Source organism: Homo sapiens, chromosome 5 (assembly GCF_000001405.40).
Source record: "Homo sapiens chromosome 5, GRCh38.p14 Primary Assembly".
Lineage (NCBI taxonomy): Eukaryota > Metazoa > Chordata > Mammalia > Primates > Hominidae > Homo > Homo sapiens.
The window spans coordinates 142,310,220-142,325,254 of NC_000005.10; the positions used below are offsets into that span (position 1 = coordinate 142,310,220).

The window sequence follows — 15,035 nt, forward strand, 5'->3', positions numbered from 1 at the left end:
AGGCTCTAGCAGCTCCTTGCAGTATTCCGCTTCATAATGAAGAGCAGCTTTCCTCCGATGGTTCTACGGTCGTCCTAGAGCTGGGAGAAGGGATTGCCCAGCCCAGGAAGCCCTATCTTCTCTTCCCCTTTCAGTGGCTGCTTATTCTCAAACTTGAGGCCTTGCTGGCTGAAGAGGTCAGGGAAGTAAACACACAAACACACCAGAAACGGCAGTCCCGTGTATATTTAACAATATATATTTATATATATTTTCTAAATCAGTACATTCAGTTTTTAACTTGTTTTTTTCTTCACAAACAGAAGAACTCTTACAATAGTAGACTTTCTAAAATAAATACTATTAAAATAGAGCTTCAAAATAAATATTCTATACAAAGAAAACCTGTGGCAACTTTGTGGTGGGGTGGAAATGGGCTACAGTGAGGGGGAAATGAAGTTGGGATGTGGCGGGGTGGGAGCCTCGAGCTTTTCTGTTTGTAACATGAAACCAAGCTGTGGGACAGTAAGAAGAGAAAGCAAGGCAAGACACTGCACGCAGTTACCCACAGCAGAAAATGGCAACGCAAGATTCATCATCGACTGTCACAGTAAGCAGAGGGGGCACAAAAATGCTTGTCAAAGGCATGAACCAGAAGGCTAGTGAGGCTCGCAGGATGCCCTAGTGAATCGTACAGTGTAGAGCTGTGCTGCCCACGCCCGCCAGACACTTCCTGGGACAGCACAGAAGGAGAACAGGATGCTTCAAGGTGACAGTCATCCGGGTTCTGGTGCAGATCAACTTTCCACGTGTGCCATCTTGGACAAGTCATTATCTAGCTGGGCCTCACTCGAGGTATGATGGCGACTGACAGGCTCCACAAGGCTGAAAAGAACTAGCCATGTCTTCCATCTCAGCTCTGAGGGGGTGCGTACCAAAGGACCAAAGGAAGGGATTGGTCTTCACCCCCTTCCTGCTCAGGAAAGCCTTAGTTGTGCCCAATCTTTTCTCTGGGAGGGCTTTGCTACCCAAGACCCAGTTCCCAGGGTGCTCGCGGAAGCGCTGTCCTTCATTAACACGGGCAGCCAGAGCCCCCTAGAAGCGTCCTGGATCCCAGGTGCCCCTCGAGTTAAGACAGAACCCCCACCTACCCCAGGTTTACCAGGGGCGGGAACTAACCAGCACTTTTCAAAAAAGGTCAAGCCGAGGCATCGTCCAGCCAAACAGGCCATTGGTGACAGGAAACACACTCAGCCAGAAGCAGCTACACATGTGTGTTGTGTCTCTGAGTGCTGGGTCCCTCAGTGGCTCTCGACTGGCCCCAGAGCCGGGGAGGGTCCACAGGCAAGCCAGTTTATCCTTCTGTTTGTTGTTGTTGTTGTTGTTGTTGTTGTTGTTTTAATTTTTGCCAAGAAGCTGAGAAAAACAATGCTGAGGGATTGCTACACAACCAAGCTGGGAGAACCAAGGATGGTTCCTTCGCTCCTTTCCCATGACCACTGAGCACACGAGGCACTGAGGTGGACTCTTAGAGAGCACTCTGCAGACATCCATCAAGCAGGTTGAAAGCAAACCAAGAAGAACAAGCTAGAACAGGGGCAGGGGGAAAAAAGGAAAAAGCAAACCAAAACCCAGAAAAATCCGTGTTTACAAGTATGTACACAAAAAGTCAGGGTTCAGGAGGCCGTTTGCCAGGAAATAGGGTCTTTGTCGGTAGACAGTCAGTGTGGGGTAGGGGTGTGTGTGTGTGTGTGTGTGTGTGTATACACAGCTTATGTAAATCGACTCTCCACAGAACGGGTGTGTAGACCACCAAGATCACCAAAGTGCAACTTGCCACTGGGTCAAGTTTCCCATGGAGACAATTTGAGGGAGGGGCCCTGGGAAGTTCTGAGGCCTCGCAGAAAGCGTGCAGATGTGCACTATCAATTTTGGGGCCCCCTCATCTGAGGAAAACCATCTCCAGTCCCTTCAGTACACTTCTGATACATTCAATTCATATAAGTGGTTGGCTGAATGTGTGTTTTTTTCTACCACTCCTTCTGAAATGTTCAAGAACATCCATACATCCGTCACAACTGTGGCAAGGGTAGCTACACGAATCAGCCTTGGAAAATGCAGATGCAATATTTCACATTCGCCTTTTACAAGCTAGCAAATGTTACATAAATAAAGCCGAAAATAATATGACCCTCCCTTCCTCCAATCAATAAATACCTATGGTTACAATCAACTTACTCTAAATCATAAGATGTTACTACTAGTCTTCAAGAAGGAAAAAATAAGTCCTTGAGAAGCATTAGGTGCCTATCATAGCTACCTACCTCGCTGCCTCCTTCCCGGAGGCACCTCTGTTCCTATACAGAACAAACTGGAAATGCTACGGACGCTCTGCCTCATGCACTTCCAGTTTCACCTGGGGTAGCTCTTCTGACTCAGGCCATGCCCTCTCATTAGAGGGGAAAACAAAATACCACACAAAGCAAGAACCCCACACAAAAGCTGGGGAGGAAGGACCAGATACACTACAGCTTTTGCATGCAACAAGTACCTACCCACTGGACGTGCTGCACCTTCTGAGTCCTTTAGCACCTTGAGAGAAAGAGTTGCTACGTCTTTGAGGGCTGTCGGGAGAGGGTGGTGTGGCTGTGCACAGAAGCAGGGCTCAAACCCAGTGGCCCCTGGAAAAACCTTTCCCCTACCCTCTCCCCAGCTCTTCCAAGCTCTTCCGACTCCCCTGCTGGGGCTTCCTAACACTAAAATAGACTCTTTTTTCATCATCTCTCTATTTACATTAAAGATACAGACACATCACTATACACAAAAGGCTATGACAGTGAGCAGCAGAATCAGAAGAGAAGAAACCCAAACCCAGCCTGGCTCAGCGGTCATTCTGCCAATGGGAGGTGCTGCCTCTCTTCTTTGCTGTTAAAATCCTCTTGTTGATAGGGAGGGAAATTGTGTTCCTTGAGGTTGCTCGCCCCCAGATTTTGAAATCAGCCCTTCCTGGGGGTGGCCAAAAGGAAACAAGTTGTTTTATTATTATTTTTTAAAACACCGTTAGCATCCGGTTTAATTATTCTATAAAAACATAATGACTGGATCCAGAGACCACAGCCTCAGACTCATTGGCAAAATGATATTTGGTCTCGCATTTGCCGCCCTGGCTTCCTCTACCCATATAAAGTTTCTGGAAGGGATCTGAGTAGAGAGAACCCAGGACACGTAGTGGGCAGGCGAGTCTGTGACTCAGTAAGAACCGAAGGACGGTGTGGTGAGCAGAACACCCCCGAGAGTTAGTTGATGCAGTTGGAAGGGAGAAGTGCACTGAGCAGTGGCTCCTAAATCCATCCTGTGGCTCCGGGGAGGCAGAAGGAGGAACGAGGCTTGGACTCACTGGCCGTCCTCTGTTCTCAGTGGCTCCCAAGTATATACAATAGGAACTGCTAGGGTGTTCTACACCTTCCCCAAGACATCAGGGACAAAGTGGGGTGGAGTGAGATGGGGAAGGAGAAGAAGGTATAGAAGACTCCAAGGGTCTTCTTTAAAGGTACCCTGGTACTCAGTTAACAATTCCTCCCAGGCAGCTAGCTCCTGTGAGAGCCAAAGACAATGGAAAAGAGGAAGGGGGGGGGGGCGGAGGGAGGGAGGGAGAAGGAGGGGCTGGGAAGGCATTCAAGCAGCTGCAGTTTCCGGATATGTGTCCACATCTGTGTTCTGTCTTCTGAAAAAGAAAAATTTCCCCCCAAACCACACCCTGCCCCTGCATTGTCTGTTTGACACAAAGTTTCAGGACCCTGAAAAAAAGCCCCAAAGTGCTTCTTCATCACCTTGGGGAATACAGGGTACGTGGTGGTGGTCTCTGTATTTTCCGAAGCTGGGGGTAGGGAGTGGGCAGACTAGCAAGGTCAGCCTCAGGAGGCTAAAACCTCTGACCTTGCTGCAGTCTTCTTAGATGTCAGAAGAGAACCAGGTTTCCAGGCAGAGCACTGGGGCTTCGACACAAACTGTCAGAAAGGCTTGTCGGGCCTGCTGGTCTTGGCATCCCCGCTGGCTGCTTTGCAGATGACGCTGTTCGTGTGCTTGCAGCGGCAACCAGGGCGGCGCAGACGGTCGTAGCCACGCTGGGCCAGCTTCACGCAGCCGGTGGCAGGCAGGTAGCAGAGCAGGCAGGGCAGCACCACGGAGAGAGCACCCATGAAGGACCAGCGGGCGCAGCAGTTGGAGCGGGAGCAGGAGCAGGGGTGGTCAGCGCAGGAGCCCTCATCGTCCTCATTCGTGCAGTGGTAGAAGATGCCCTGCACCAAACACATGCACGTGCCATAGTTGACCAGAGTCTGGGCTGAGCACAGGCACTCCTGGTTGCAGACCCAGCAGGAAGGCAACGTCCGGGGGGATGCACACTCCTTGCATTTACACTTCCCACAGGCCTCGCACAGCAAGAAGTGCTTGTCCAGCTCGGGTGGGACCGCCGGGCCCTTGAGGTCCAGCGGCTGGCAGTGGACCACCTTGGGCTGGATGCGCACAGCCCTTGGTGAGGCCTGGTCAGCCACGGGTGGTGGTGCCATGTGGTCTAAGAGCCGTTGGTCAGAGGATGTGCTGCTGCTGCTGCTCACAGAGCTGGGGCGCCCGCTGAAGGAGATCCAATGGTGGGTGACATCCTGGTCACAGCGGGCGGGCGTCGGGGCCAGCTCTGGGGCCCCGCCCCGGGTCCGCTTTGGGCCGGTGGTCAGGGCCAGGCTAGGGTTGTCTATGTAGTCATTCTCCACATGGCTGGTCTTCACCTGGTCAATGGGTAGGATGGTGAGTGGGTGCTGGAGCCGGCTGTGGGACATCCGGCTGTCAAGAAGGGGCTGGACCATGACTGAGTTGGGAGTCAAGGGGGCGCTCTGTGGGATCGGGGGCTCCATGGGGCTGGAGGTCCTGGACTGTACGGAGAAACAGGCTTCTAGGGGCCCTGGGGGTGGGGTGGGGAAAAGGAAGAGAGAATGGATTCCAGGCATCAGTATGTGGCCTGCCAATACCTCACCCCCCATCAGGTCCTTGGGAGCCGCCCAATTGACATAGGAACTAAAATCCCTCTGTGGACTTTCCAGTGACTCCCCAAGCTTAAGATGATTAATAATGACAAGAAGTCAGTGGTGGAAATAATACTACTGAGCACTTAAGATGGAGGTACTCTCCTAAGCACCATATGCATTAAGTCATTGACTTCATGATAAGCCTAAAACGTAACTACTATTATCCCCCTTTTCTATTTAGAGAAAAGACATGTTGAAATTAATTTGTCCAAAGTCACACAAAACTATCCAAAACTATCAGTAGCAGGACTCAAACCTGGGCAGCCTGAGTTCATTCTCTTAGTCACTGTGAAACATGCTCCTTATTTAAGACACATAGCTCAGTGGATGTAAACACAGGCTCTGGAACAACACTCAAATTTGACTCTCACTTTGGTCTAGCAATATTGCTATGAATGAGTTCTTTCATCTCTATGCCTTAGATTTTGGTTTTGTCATCTGTAAAATGGGCTCTTGCAAGGATTAAATGAGAAAATACTATCTATTACCTAGCATATTACCTGGCACGCAGCAACAATTTATCGCTACCCCAGGGAATAAGTTTAGATCTCCTGAGCACTTACAAGCACTGCCTGCCAAGCACTGTGCCAGGCACTGGGGACAATGTGGTGAACTCAACAGACAGCTCTGGGTGCTCCCATGGAGTTTATCAGCTGGATAAACAAGCCCTTTATTTCAGATATTCACAAGAGAAGGGCTGTATCTGATGCCTGCACATCCAGGATATTAACTTATTACTACCACTTCTTAAGAGCAGCAACCTGCAGTGGCTAATAATCCCTGGGTATGTGAGCTTCTGACAACTTGGATGGGAAATCCTCTCGAGGGGCACTCACATCACCCATTTCCAAGTGCTGAGCTGAACATTCAGCCTAAATGCTATTTACTAGAGTAGCTAAGCCAACCCTGGATCAGTTTCTAATTTCACCGAGAGAGTGCAATTTTAAGTTGGAATCCAGCCAGAGATTCAACTGCAGTGCCTGACACGGAACCCCAGGAAGTCACTTAAATCAAAGAGCGGAAACTGCTTGGTTCAAATTTAGAAAGTGCACATTGTTTTCTATTAGAAGTGCCATTTCCTTGCCTGCTGACCTTTACATTTGGAATTCTGCTGGAGATCAATTTAAAGAAATAGCAGCAGAAGGCCAAGACCTCTGCTCAAGGGGATACAATTTGGAATCCAAGGGAAAGATTACACTCTGGGAAGATTCCACCCCAATCTTAAGAACCCCAGGGAATGGGGAGGGAGGGTAAAAGAGAAAGATAAGTCTTTAAAACAAAACCAAAAAAAGGCCATTGCATTAATGTATTATGGGGTGGGGTTTTAGTAAATGCTTTTGCATTTACTAAATTTGCATCAAGATGCTAACGATGTTCTAATTAGGAGAGCTGATCCTGCCCCTCTGCTGTTAGGTTTATCTAGAACCTGTCTAAAATAAAAAGCTAGCTCTAGATAAAAGTTTATGAAGGGGATAAAAAGGGGGCTATCCACGGGGCTCCAGTATGTATATCACTTACACTGCTAAATCCAAAAAGCATCCAGTCTTTTCTGCGAGGTTCAATGCTCAGTCAACTGATATTTCCCATTCACGCAGGGCATCAACTATTGGCTTTGCTCCCATGGCCCTGCCTACTTAAAAGGATGCTGGTATTTCTTTACACGCCTTGTTTTTCCTGTCTTGGAGAAAGCCTACCTAGTGGCAGTGCCTGCCCCCATGTTCTCTTCGGATGAAACCATAGCATCACCTTTGAATTGGCGATTTCCTTGTGGCAGAGTTTACCTTAAGTGTCTGGCAGGTCTGCCACCAAAGAGTAGCCACTTGCCAAAGCAGCCTCCCCTGGAGATCCTGTGGTCAGGGCTGGAGAGAGGGAATGCAAGTAAGCATCTATGGAGAGGAGTTTTTCCAAGGATCAGGCTGATGACAACGTAGGAATTCCAGGGAATGCTACCTCAGCCTGCCCACTTATTCTCAATAGGTGTTCCAAAGCCTTGCTTCTAGAATAAATGAGTTTGGGGCAAGAGGCCAGGGTTAGGAGCCCAAGGTCCAGCACTGAGGACGCTGCCTGGAGGAAAGGGTGTGGCTTGGCCTAAGAATTAAAAATGCCACGGATAAGATTCTCCAGCACCAGCCAGAACCCTCACCCCCGGACAATGATAACATGAGTCCCTTGTTCCAGAAACCGATGTCAGGAATATTCAGGGTCCTGCCAACACAATGTAGGCAGCAGTTTGAAGCTTCTATTGCCCCATATAGTTGGGTTTTGTCTCTCAGGACCAGGATTGGGTCTGGTCATGCTGTGGAAGAAAGTAAAAGACTCCCTTTCCTTAAGCAGATTCACTTTTTTTTTTTTTTTTCATTTGTGAGGTTCTTTAAAAACAGCCCATGTCCTACAGATAAAGCAAAAGAAATGGGCAATGCTCAGAAATTTTAATAGGCCTTGGAATCAGAAAGCAGATTCCCCAATTCATGGAAAAGTCCCACCAGGAAGCCAGGATGGGAGCAGCCGCTGCAGGCAATGGGGATGTTGGCATTCACAGGCTCCCATAACCCTCCAGAGGCAGCTGTCAACATCTGGGCCTGCAGTTGAGGCCAGACATGGGGATGGGAGCTTGGCCCACGATGACTTGGCTCTCTGGGGACGATGCAGCATCCGATGGCTCCACTGGGCATATTCTAAAATGTATCTTCCCTATTATAACCCCGATGTAGTAGGATTCCTTTCAACCACCAGCTCAGCAAAAACCAAATCAGAGTTCCACTGCTGGCCTCACCCCTCACCAGCAGGGACCCTCCAAGAGCCTCTGCTGAATTTATGTGGCTGACAAAGGAAAACAATTTTCTGAGCTGCCTATTTAAGAACCCCTCAGCACAGCTAAATGATGTCTCAAAAAAAAAAAGAAAGAAAAAAAGAAAAGAAAGAAGGCCTGGCGCAGTGGCTCATGCCTGTAATCTCAGCCTTTTGGGAGGCCAAGGTAGGCAGATCACTTGAGGTCAGGAGTTCAAGACCAGCCTGACCAACAGGATGAAACCCCCATCTCTACTAAAAATACAAAAATTAGCCAGGCATGGTGGCAGGTGCCTGTAATCCCAGTTACTTGGGAGGCTGAGGCAGGAGAGTCACTTGAACCCAGGAGGCGGAGGTTGCTGTGAGCCAATATCGCACCACTGCACTCTAGCCTGAGTGACAGAGCAAGACTGAGTCTCAAGAAAAAAAAAAAGAAAGAAAGAAAAAGAAAAAACAACTCTCAGTTGATTTGGTAGATCAATCTCTACTCACTGAGAAACACCCACCCTCCACTCTGAGCAATGCTGACAATCTTAAGTGCAATTTAATATGTGCTCCCTGCTTCCCCTGCAAGGTAGTAAGAGATTTATAATATAAATAAGAGAGAGGAGGTTTTGCCTCATTTAAGCAGTTTGGAAGAGACTGATGGCCAATTTGGAAGACACTGGACAGAGAAACAAACCCAGCACTCCACTTAGCCAAAGAAGCACCTCTATCAAGTTTAGGTGGTACTCTTACGAACTGGCAAGAGGGAAGGGACTTTTACCTCCACTCAACCTTCTAATAATAATAAATAATAATTATGGAAGCGGCTAATATTTACGAAACATTTCTTGGTGCCAGGCTCCGTGCTAAGCCCTCAGTGATTTATTTTCTCACCATAAATCAAGTCATTTAATCCTCACCATACTTCAAGAGAGAACCCATTTTACAGAGGAGGAAATGGAAGCACAAAGGGTCATAGAGCTAGCAAGTGACCAGAGCAGGATTTGAACCAAGACAGCAGAGGCTTCAGAGGCTGAAATATTAACCTCTCAGCCCTGACTTACAAAAGCCCTCCATAACCTCTGGGAATTTATGGAAAGGCATGAAAGTGCCATCACTTTCACAACCATGGACTCCTCCAGCCCTCACGGAACATCATTAGAACATCCTGGGGCTCTGCAATGCAACCAACAGGGAAGGAAAGCCAGATGGGGCTTACATCAGCCTGAACCCCAGGGAGGGGAATTTTCAATGTGGAGAGTGAAGGCTGTGGGGGTTTGTAATCTCTCTCATTCAAGGAAGGCTCAGAGTTCAAGTGCTCTTCACTCCAGTTCAGTGTTACATGCCATCCCCCGTCTTAAAAGTGGTTTCATTTTTAGTTTTCTTATAGTTGAATGGATTTCACTTGTAGGAGTTTATTACAAACCAGTCCCCAAAAGGAAACCCTGGGGTGGAAAGGAATCTCTACTCCTCCCCACCTATCAAGTTGAACTTAAGGGTCCCTAGGGTACCTTCATTGATGGGGTCCCTGGCCCAGGTCTGTGAGGAAGGGAGGGAGCCAGGGCACAGAGAGTCCTAGAATACTGAATCAGCAGGATATCAAAATCCCCAGAACACGCGCAACACTGTATTTGCTGCTTGGCGGGTCTGGGAGCCCAGAACCAGCCAGTCTGACACTCACTGCATTTGTACCTGTGGGGAGGGGGCTGAGCATCAGGCTGCAAACCGCTCAATACAGGCTGGCTGAAAAGAATCAAGAGGCATGTTAAATGTCCGCACAATTGAGCAGGATGCCTAATCCCACCCACCCACACCCTCCCCTTGACTTACCCTAGGGAGGTGAGTTGGGAAATATTGGGAAAACCTGACAGTTGTACTTTGAAAGCTACAGGTCAGCTAATGACAAACTGGCAAGAGGCTGTGAATGAATGGGTAGTTTAAGCACTGCCCCATTCAGTCTCAGCGGGTTCTTTCAGTGAAGGCTGTTTAACCCTTTAAACAACTCAGAATAAAGGTCTCTAGGCTGCCAGAGAGCCTGCCCACCACTATTGCTTGGTTCTTTGTGACACTATTCCAGTTTAGCTAATTAAGCTACAACCAAATAATGACTTATTGCTTTAAAAGGACTTTAAAAAGAGGGGGAGGGATGCTGAGGGAAGCAGAGGACTTGCCCCTCCCTATACCCTGCAAAGAAAGACAATCTCTGCTGAGAATGGCCCCAGTGGAAGAATAAAGCATTTGGGCAGCTGGATTTGTCTATGAATCTTTCTTCCTTCCCCCACCTCCCTACCCCCAGCACCAGCACTAAGAAGCTCACCTCTGGCCACAATCTGTCAGAGATCACAAAAAAAAAACGGTTGTTTTTCATCACTTCATCCCACCACATTACCGATTCCCAACCCTCTTCTCTTCTCTCTTTCACAGCCAATCAGCTGAGCTCCAAAGCCCCAGCACACGGAAGGGTGGGAATCTTGCTGGACTTTGGGCTTTGGGCTATTTAATCAGCTTCGAGTTTCTGCTTCACTGTATTACCGCCTTAATTGTCTGCTCAGATTCCCATAAAGAAGGATTAGAAGCCAAGAGTCAGTAAAGAAGGAGTCAGAAGGAGCCTGTTAACCACTGGCATAGTTTGGGAACTACTGGCCAAGTCCAGGTCTGGGTGGGACCAGAACCCTAGACTCCTAGGGCAGGGCTTCCTCCCACAGACACTAAGATCTTATTATTTGTCTTCTTACCCTCCACCAAGAAATGAACTTACAATAATAGATTTTAGCTTACTCCTGGGACAGGAGCAGGAAATGACTTCCCCTTCCCCCAACCAAAAAAAGACTACTGACAAGGGAAACCACTCTTCTGCAAGTGGCCACCTGCCCCGAAGGGCCCCTTCCCTTCTCCGCCAGATCCAGCACATCTGTGCTCCCTCCCCTGTGCCCTTGCTTCCTTCACTGACTGGGGCCTGTCCTTGGAAAGAACAATCATGATCACAGCTGAACTGTGGAGCCTCTTAAGCCCAGCCACATGTCCCGGATACATTCCCCAGCCTTGTCAGCTGTCCGGATCTGCAGGGTGGCCCCAGACCCCGAGAGCCAAGAATACCCTCCCTCTTACATCACGCAACACCCCACACCTCCTGTGCAGGAAAGGGGCACCCTTAAAACTAGGCCCTCCTCCTAGGAGCCCAATAATAACCATGAGCATGGCCCTAGTCCTGGCCGCTCACTAGCAGCTCTGCTGGCCTCTGTCCCCTTGGGAAGAGTTTATTTTCTCTACTGTGCAGATGGGGAAGCTAAGGCCATGCTTAGCAGGTTTGCCTAGTCACACATCTGCTCTGTTCTAGCCCCTGGCTTGGTCTGGAAGGGACAATACAGCTTTCTGAAAGTTGTTCACCTACCCCTGGCTCTTTTGAAAGAGCAAAAACATATTCTAATGAGTCACTGCTTTCTCCTTTCAGGGAGATAAGGTCGGCCCTGAGATAGAACCTTCTCCACTCTAGCCATTTCCCTTCCTTAAAAACTCTGTCATGTCTACATTCAAAACCCCAAATTTTCAACTTTGTCTCCAAATTCAGAGGCCTGGGCGAGAATCCTTAGCCAGGTTGTCATCACAAGGGAACTGCCACCTAAGTAGAGGCCAGATGACAAACACTGTGGATTTAGAACCAAATGGAACACTATGATTCTCCAAGAAACACTGGACTTTTCTGAATAAAGAGGGAGGGCTCCTTCCTAGGCCTCCTTTGCACCAACACCCAGGCCCTCATCAACAGGATAGCCCAAGGACAGAAAAACACACTGTGGGGGCACAAATCTTGGAGCTAGAAGATGTCAAACAACAAGACATTCAGCCCTGTAAACTGGAATCCCCACATATGGTCCCAAAGTATTAAATCCCAGAGCAACACAGCTCAAGGGTCACTTCTGTAAGTATTAATGGGTTTTATTCCTCTCTTAACTTTTATATCACTGATTTTCAAATTTGGCACTGAAAGGCTGCTTTCATTTATTATTCACGAAAGTCAGCCAAACCTCTGGTTTACCAAAGTTGGGGCTGGGGTCATGGGTGGGTGCGAACTGGGCAGGACAGATTTCCAAAGAGCCACATCTCTCCGCCAATTCTGGGAGGATGCAGATAAAAATGACATATGAGGCCGGGCGTGGTGGCTCACGCCTGTAATCCCAGGGGAGGCAGAGGCCGGCGGATCATGAGCTTAGGAGTTCGAGACCAGCCTAGCCAACATGGTGAAACCCTGTCTCTACTAAAAATACAAAAATTAGCTGGGTGTGGTGGCACACACCTGTAATTCCAGCTACTTGGGAGGCTGAGGCAGGAGCATCATTTGAACCTGGGAGGCGGAGGTTGCAGTGAGCCAAGATCGCGCAACTGCACTCCAGCCTGGGTCACAGAGCAAGACTCGTCTCAAGAAAAAAAAAAAATATATATATATATATATAAATGAAAACGACATCCGTAAGCTCCAAATGTCCACCTGTCCACAGCCTCTGCCCTACTATGTGTTCTGTCTCCTCCCACCAGCCCCCAACTAAAGCTTCAGTGAGATGAGGCCATTTCAGAGGGTGATCTGGAAAAGGTCATGGAGCTGGGCAGGAGGGCTAAGGGCAAGAGGGCATTTACACTCCACTGAAAGGGAGTGACTCCTGATAACCAACAGATGCCTTTAAAGTCTGCTCACTGTAACTGACCAATATTTGTCCATGAAGATTTCAGAAATCTGCTACTAAAATCCCCACCCTACACCCGTACTGGCCACATGGCGTGGTTGGTAAGTGTGTGTGCTGTTCACCACATTAGGATTTGCTGGAGCCTCGCAGCACGTGAGAACCCTCCCAAGAGATGGGAAAGAGGAAATGTGATTTCACACTGGACATCTCCACTAGTTCTTTCCCACCCTTCTGGGAGACAGAGAGGGAGAGAGAAAGAGAAATCTTTAACTGCAGCCCTGCCTCTCCTAGCTCTCCTGACACCCGCCCTAAAAAAAAAAAAAAAAAGGCTGAAAATTTCAGAGATGTTTATGCTCCATTTGTGTGAAGATCTGGAGAACTCCAAACATTGTGAAATCCACCAGTGCAATATTGGGTAGGGCCTCAGGCCAGACTGAGCTCATTAAGAGATTGATAAACCCGCAGTTCCCAACTTCTCTGAGCCTTATACCTTCCAGCTTTGAATCCCGAGAGACTTGTCAGGGAGGTTAGTGCCTCGGTCAGCTACAGACACAGACGAGTGCTTGCTCCCGCCCCTCTGCAAGTTCTTTGGCCTCCAGTGTGTCTGGCCTCTCCCAAAACTGGAGAGAATCACGCCACTGATTTGGAGGCAGGAAAGAAGGGGATGCCACTAGGTTTGGGCACCCCACTGTACACTCTTCTTTCCAGCACTAACCGCGCTGGGGGGTACGGAAGCCTTGCTGCGCCAGAAGGCGGCCTCCTGCCCTCACAGAGGCCTTGGCAATATGGATGCCCCTCCAGCAGCTGGTGAAAGAGGCAGCCAGCAGCTCCCTACTCTGCCTACCATCTAGCCCCTCCAGCCCATTTCGCCTCTCTTGCCCATCCTTCAGCCCTATAAGCCACGCAACCATTTTCTGTCTCCCCTGCCTCTCCTGCCCACAACCCCCTGCCCCCAATCAAGGAGAATTGAGAAACCGTCTTCTTGCACAAGAGCAGCTACTGTCTAAATGCTTTTTGATCGTCTGCATGGAGGGGGAACTGGGCACAGCCCTGGACCCAGTGATGGAGCCAAGCTCTAGCTGCCCTGGCTAGCCAAACCCGCCCTCACCCAGCTCACTGTCCCCGGGGTCTTGGCGATTCAGAATTTGTCAGAACATACCGTCTCTATCCTCTTCTCTGTGATGTCAAGCCTGGTACCACCAAGAAGGAAGGAGGGAAAGCAGGAGCCTTATCTCTCCTACATTCGCAACCTCTTCCTCCAGCTCCCACACGCCTGGTGTTATGTAAACGCACCTTCAACCCCCACCGCAGCCCTAGCGCGGCCTGGGGGCTCCGGGGCCTGGCACAGCTCGGTGCCCGAGGATAGGGAGGTACAGGGTGGCCGAGGAGCCTCAGGCCTTACAGAGGCCAGGCAAGAAAAAGTCAACTGCAAGGCAGTTGCATAGCATAAAATGCGGCAGCGGAGCAAAGGTCAGACGGCGAGGAACCGCCTCGCCAAGGAGAGGGAGTAGGAATGCCCAGTCCTGAGCCAGCCCCTCGCTGACCATCGAGGGAGAGGCAGAAGGGGAGGGAATTCAGTCCGTCACGGCTCCGAAGAGAAAGAAAAAATCTACGTCGAGCATAGGCCGCTACGGCGGGCTGGGAGATACACGGCAAAGCTGGCACCGTGGGCACCGAGCTGGGAGGTGGGCGAGCCGCCCAGAGCGAGGGCGCCCCCCGACCCAAACGGTGGCTCCTGACCAAGCCCAGAGACGCCCGTTCCAGCGTTCGAGGCGGATGGTGGCAGGAGAAGGAAAGAGGCCAGGCCAGAGGCAAACTCCCGGGACACGCACGGGGCTTCCCGAGTCTCAGAGGGCGGGGAAGCCGGGCTTGGCAATGCCCAGGGGTCGGAAACGGCGGTGCCAGGCTGTGAACACCCCCGGCGCCGTGCCGGCCGGGCCGAGGGCGTCAGGGAGCTGCGGCGCACCGCAGCGACTCAAGGAGGCGCAGGCTGAGGGAAGGAACACTGAGGCGCGCCTAGAAATAGCGCACCATTTGCCCCAGCCCAAGGGGGGAGTCGCGTCGCGGCTCAGAGAGGGGCAGTTTCAGATCTCCAAACCAGCCATGGACTTACTTTGAGGAGCTGCAGGGTCACAAGCATCGCCCCACGTCTGTGTAAATCCTGAAGCCGGGGCAGGTTAGCCGCCGCTGTACTCGCAGACGCCGGTCGGAGGAACCGGCAAGGCTCCCTGCGCTCCACAGCGCCAGCTCCGCGCTGTCAGCTCAGCTCGCTACCTCCGCGGCGATGTTGCAACCACTGCCTGGGAAAATGGCTTTTTTATGAATGGGAGGGAAGGGAGCGCCAGTGCGCACGCGTGCCGTTCGCGATTCTATGAATGGGTGGGCACAACAGACCCTGAGCGCGCATGCGCTCCGCTCCTTTTTTTATGAATGGGGGGCGGGAAAAGATCTTAACCCGTGATTGCTGGGACTGGCTCAAGCTCCACCAGGAGCCGTCGTTCTTTTACAAAGAGGGGTGGAGGTT

General features: G+C 50.2%; 1 protein-coding gene and 1 long non-coding RNA gene across 7 annotated transcripts, besides 5 other annotated features; both read right to left on the reverse strand.

Moving 5' to 3' along the window:
• SPRY4 (sprouty RTK signaling antagonist 4) lies at positions 211–14,802 on the reverse strand. 6 transcript variants are annotated; one of them, NM_030964.5, is made up of 3 exons: positions 14,625–14,802; positions 9,525–9,575; positions 211–4,936 (listed from the first exon to the last, which is right to left on the reverse strand). In NM_030964.5, the coding sequence occupies exons 2-3, from the start codon at positions 9,544–9,546 to the stop codon at positions 3,990–3,992; spliced, it is 969 nt and encodes a 322-aa protein (NP_112226.2). In that variant the 5' UTR covers positions 9,547–9,575; positions 14,625–14,802; the 3' UTR covers positions 211–3,989. The 6 variants fall into 6 exon arrangements, with proteins under 6 accessions (NP_112226.2, XP_011535987.1, NP_001280218.1 ...); XM_011537685.4 differs by lacking the exon at positions 14,625–14,802 and adding an exon at positions 13,671–14,028; NM_001293289.3 differs by lacking the exon at positions 14,625–14,802 and adding an exon at positions 13,671–14,028 and having other exon boundaries at positions 9,514–9,575.
• Positions 699–1,200: an enhancer, noted in NCBI's record as "H3K4me1 hESC enhancer chr5:141690483-141690984 (GRCh37/hg19 assembly coordinates)". NCBI's record gives its function as "activates a minimal SCP1, AML or CMV promoter by ChIP-STARR-seq in primed H9 embryonic stem cells {active_cell/tissue: H9 hESC(primed)}" and the evidence as "EXISTENCE:reporter gene assay evidence [ECO:0000049][PMID:30033119]".
• Positions 7,401–8,103, reverse strand: SPRY4-IT1 (SPRY4 intronic transcript 1). Its single transcript, NR_131221.1, has one exon. It is a non-coding gene; the product is annotated as an SPRY4 intronic transcript 1 (long non-coding RNA).
• Positions 9,373–10,117: an enhancer, noted in NCBI's record as "NANOG hESC enhancer chr5:141699157-141699901 (GRCh37/hg19 assembly coordinates)". NCBI's record gives its function as "activates a minimal SCP1, AML or CMV promoter by ChIP-STARR-seq in primed H9 embryonic stem cells {active_cell/tissue: H9 hESC(primed)}" and the evidence as "EXISTENCE:reporter gene assay evidence [ECO:0000049][PMID:30033119]".
• Positions 12,800–13,764: an enhancer, noted in NCBI's record as "H3K27ac-H3K4me1 hESC enhancer chr5:141702584-141703548 (GRCh37/hg19 assembly coordinates)". NCBI's record gives its function as "activates a minimal SCP1, AML or CMV promoter by ChIP-STARR-seq in primed H9 embryonic stem cells {active_cell/tissue: H9 hESC(primed)}" and the evidence as "EXISTENCE:reporter gene assay evidence [ECO:0000049][PMID:30033119]".
• Positions 13,765–14,727: an enhancer, noted in NCBI's record as "H3K27ac-H3K4me1 hESC enhancer chr5:141703549-141704511 (GRCh37/hg19 assembly coordinates)". NCBI's record gives its function as "activates a minimal SCP1, AML or CMV promoter by ChIP-STARR-seq in primed H9 embryonic stem cells {active_cell/tissue: H9 hESC(primed)}" and the evidence as "EXISTENCE:reporter gene assay evidence [ECO:0000049][PMID:30033119]".
• Positions 14,209–14,268: an enhancer, noted in NCBI's record as "active region_23318". NCBI's record gives its function as "activates an Ori minimal core promoter by ATAC-STARR-seq in GM12878 lymphoblastoid cells {active_cell/tissue: GM12878}" and the evidence as "EXISTENCE:reporter gene assay evidence [ECO:0000049][PMID:35858748]".

Bases quoted from the DNA above. Each gene is read 5' to 3' on its own strand.
- SPRY4 (NM_030964.5), bottom strand. From the start codon at position 9,546: ATGCTCAGCCCCCTCCCCACAG. The intron at 4,937-9,524 runs GTACAAATGCAG...CCCCACCCCCAG, and splicing joins GCTCAGCCCCCTCCCCACAG to GGCCCCTAGAAGCCTGTTTC.